General features: G+C 42.9%; 1 annotated feature.

Annotated features, from left to right (window-relative positions):
* Positions 870 to 1164: a silencer, noted in NCBI's record as "tiled region #891; K562 Repressive non-DNase unmatched - State 24:Quies". NCBI's record gives its function as "represses a minimal TATA promoter and a strong SV40 promoter by Sharpr-MPRA in K562 cells {active_cell/tissue: K562}" and the evidence as "EXISTENCE:reporter gene assay evidence [ECO:0000049][PMID:27701403]".

Genomic DNA, 2746 nt, shown 5'->3' on the forward strand with positions numbered 1-2746 from the left:
ATTAGCAGAGGTTTATTTAGCCAGGGGAGAGAAGAAAAACACAAGTCACAGGATCATCTGTGACCTGTGCATTTTTCAAAGGGGCTTTTGGGAACTTTGTTATTTAAAAGGGAAAGAGCAAGCAGGAGGGAAAAAAGGGATGGAGGGTAGGTAGTGAGGAAAGTGGTTGCATTGTTGTGAGGTTCTGATGAGCCTCAGTAAATCTACATTTTACATGTGAAAAGAGGGAGTAGAGGAAAAAAATCTAGTATGTATTCGTCTTAGGGTAGGTGGAGGGATGATTTCTGGTCTTGACTTTAACCTGTACCTGGGAAGATAAGCTGATAATTGACATTGTCAGGGTGAGATTCAATGGAACTCACTAGTTTATGGGGGGTGAAATATGTTTCCTGAAAAATTTAGGGGCTATGCCGCAGGGTTGTCAAATTACATCTCTCTGTTAGGGAACAAAAGGGAGGCAGCATTGCATGACTCAGTTCCCAAGCTTAATTTTCCTTTTAGCATAGTGAGTTTGGGGTCTCAAGATTCTATTTTCTTTTACACAAACTAGACCTTATAACTGAGAAATAATAAAGATTTATAGGTGCTAAAATTATTGAGAAAAGTTATTTTAAAAATTTGAACAAAAATAGCCTCCTGGGATACTACGTTTTGGGATTGCTATAGGTGAAATACAATGAAGATTTTACATATTTGGAACAATCTTATAAGAAAATAACAAAGAATGTGGGGATTAAATTGAAAGCCAAAGTAATTGAGTCAAAATCTTATTTCCAGATGTGACAGTGTCTTTTCCTGTTGAGCAAAAAGCCTTAGGTCCCATGTTGGCATTATTAGTCATTTAAGAACACACAAACGGATCATGTAAAAGCGATGTTAGTCAGTGAAAATTTGCTAATAGTGAAGCAGGATATTTCCCTGACCCCTTCATGGGATGACAGGGGTGCCTTGTTTACTCAGCCCGCAGTCTCAACTCCTTGTGGGAGAGAGTGCTCAAGCAAACAAGTATGGGAACTGGGGTGAAGGAGCGCTGGAACCAGCTGGCTGCTTTGGCGGAGCGGGATCAAACTCCACTGACTTGGACCCGCTGCATTCTACCCCTCGTGGGAGAGAGAATGCAGGTGAGCAGGTGCAGGAACTGGCCAGATGCTTTAGCACCGGCAGGAGAACTCCATGCAGGCCCTGTGGCAGTGTCCTGGCAGGGGTGCCTGGGATTCCCAAAGCCCCAGAGGGTGTGTTACAGTGCTCTTTTAGCTCTGCTGTCTGAGGATAGCATAAGTGTGACCAGCTCAGTGAGCCCTTTGCCTTTTGTGTGGGCAGCTGCCCTCTGCCAGTAAGGACAAAGGGCCAGTGTGACAGCCTTTTGTATCTGCACTCTTGGCAACCAAGCTCTTATCAAGCATCCAGGAAAAACGAGGTTGCATGAATGAATTGAAGGATGGTAAATGCAGGAGATTTTATTGCCAATGAAAGTGGCTCTCAGCACTGAGGAGCTGAAGGAGAGCTGAAAAGGTGATGGGGCAGGTAGGTAATCTTCCCCTGAAGTACGGTCATCTCTGGTTGGATTCTACTCTGAAACTATGCCCTCAAGCTGTCCTTCTAATGTCAAGCCACCTCTCTCTGATGTCCAGCCCTAGTTCTGTCTACTGGCTGAGTCTGGGGTTTCTATATATACAGGATGGGGTAGGGCAGGGCCATGGGTGCTTTATGAAAAGGCAACATTCAAGCAGGTAAGCAGGGATATAAGTTCTCACTTCGGGCTGCAGTTTCAGGCTTTTTGGCCTGAGGGTGGAGTTTCACCGGGAACCTGCCCTCTTCTGCCTAGAATTTCTCTGCCCCCTGTTTCTATCAATAAGGCAGGACTCCGAGGCAATGGTCTGTACTGTGAGGTTCCAGGCTATTTTGGAATCTAGATTTCTAAAGGCTCTTGGCTTTGCTGACTCATGCCCTTCCTTTCTCTGAAAACTGATTTACTAGCTCACTCTTAACCTATTGCGATGTTTCTCAGCAATGAAGAATTGAGATTAAATAAAGTAGGTAGTTAAAAAACAAAAAGCAAAGTTGGTAGCAAAGTAGAAGAAAAACCCAAAGGCATCTTAAGAGAAAAGGAAATTTATATGAGCAGAGGTAACGTTGTAATTTGAAAACTATCTATAATTTAGCACCAATGACCAATTCACCATGTTTATGTGTCCCTTTCTATGTGTACCAAATGCTTTGGAACTTTTCTTATTAAAAGTAGGTGGAAATAGAAAATGTAGAAATAAGCCCCTTACATTTACTGATTTTTTTTTGACAAGAGTACATAGACAATTCCATAACAATAGAGCAGTCTTTTAAATAAAGACTGCTGGGGCTATTGAATATCCATGTATAAAAGAAAAGTTACCTAGACCCTTACCCTACACTGTACACAGATATTAATTCAAAATGGACTACAAACCTAAATGTAAGGGCTGAAACTGTAAAACTTCCTAGAAGAAAACATAAAAGAAAGTATTGTAACCATAGGTTGGGTTAAGATATTTTAGTTATAACACCCAAAACAAATTACTTAAAAGAAAACGATTGCGGCCGGGCGCGGTGGCTCACGCCTGTAGTCCCAGCACTTTGGGAGGCCGAGGCGGGCGGATCACGAGGTCAGGAGATCGAGACCATCCCGGCTAAAACGGTGAAACCCCGTCTCTACTAAAAATACAAAAAATTAGCCGGGCGTAGTGGCGGGCGCCTGTAGTCCCAGCTACTT

Source organism: Homo sapiens, chromosome 8, assembly GCF_000001405.40.
Source record: "Homo sapiens chromosome 8, GRCh38.p14 Primary Assembly".
In the NCBI taxonomy this organism is placed as follows: Eukaryota; Metazoa; Chordata; class Mammalia; order Primates; family Hominidae; genus Homo; species Homo sapiens.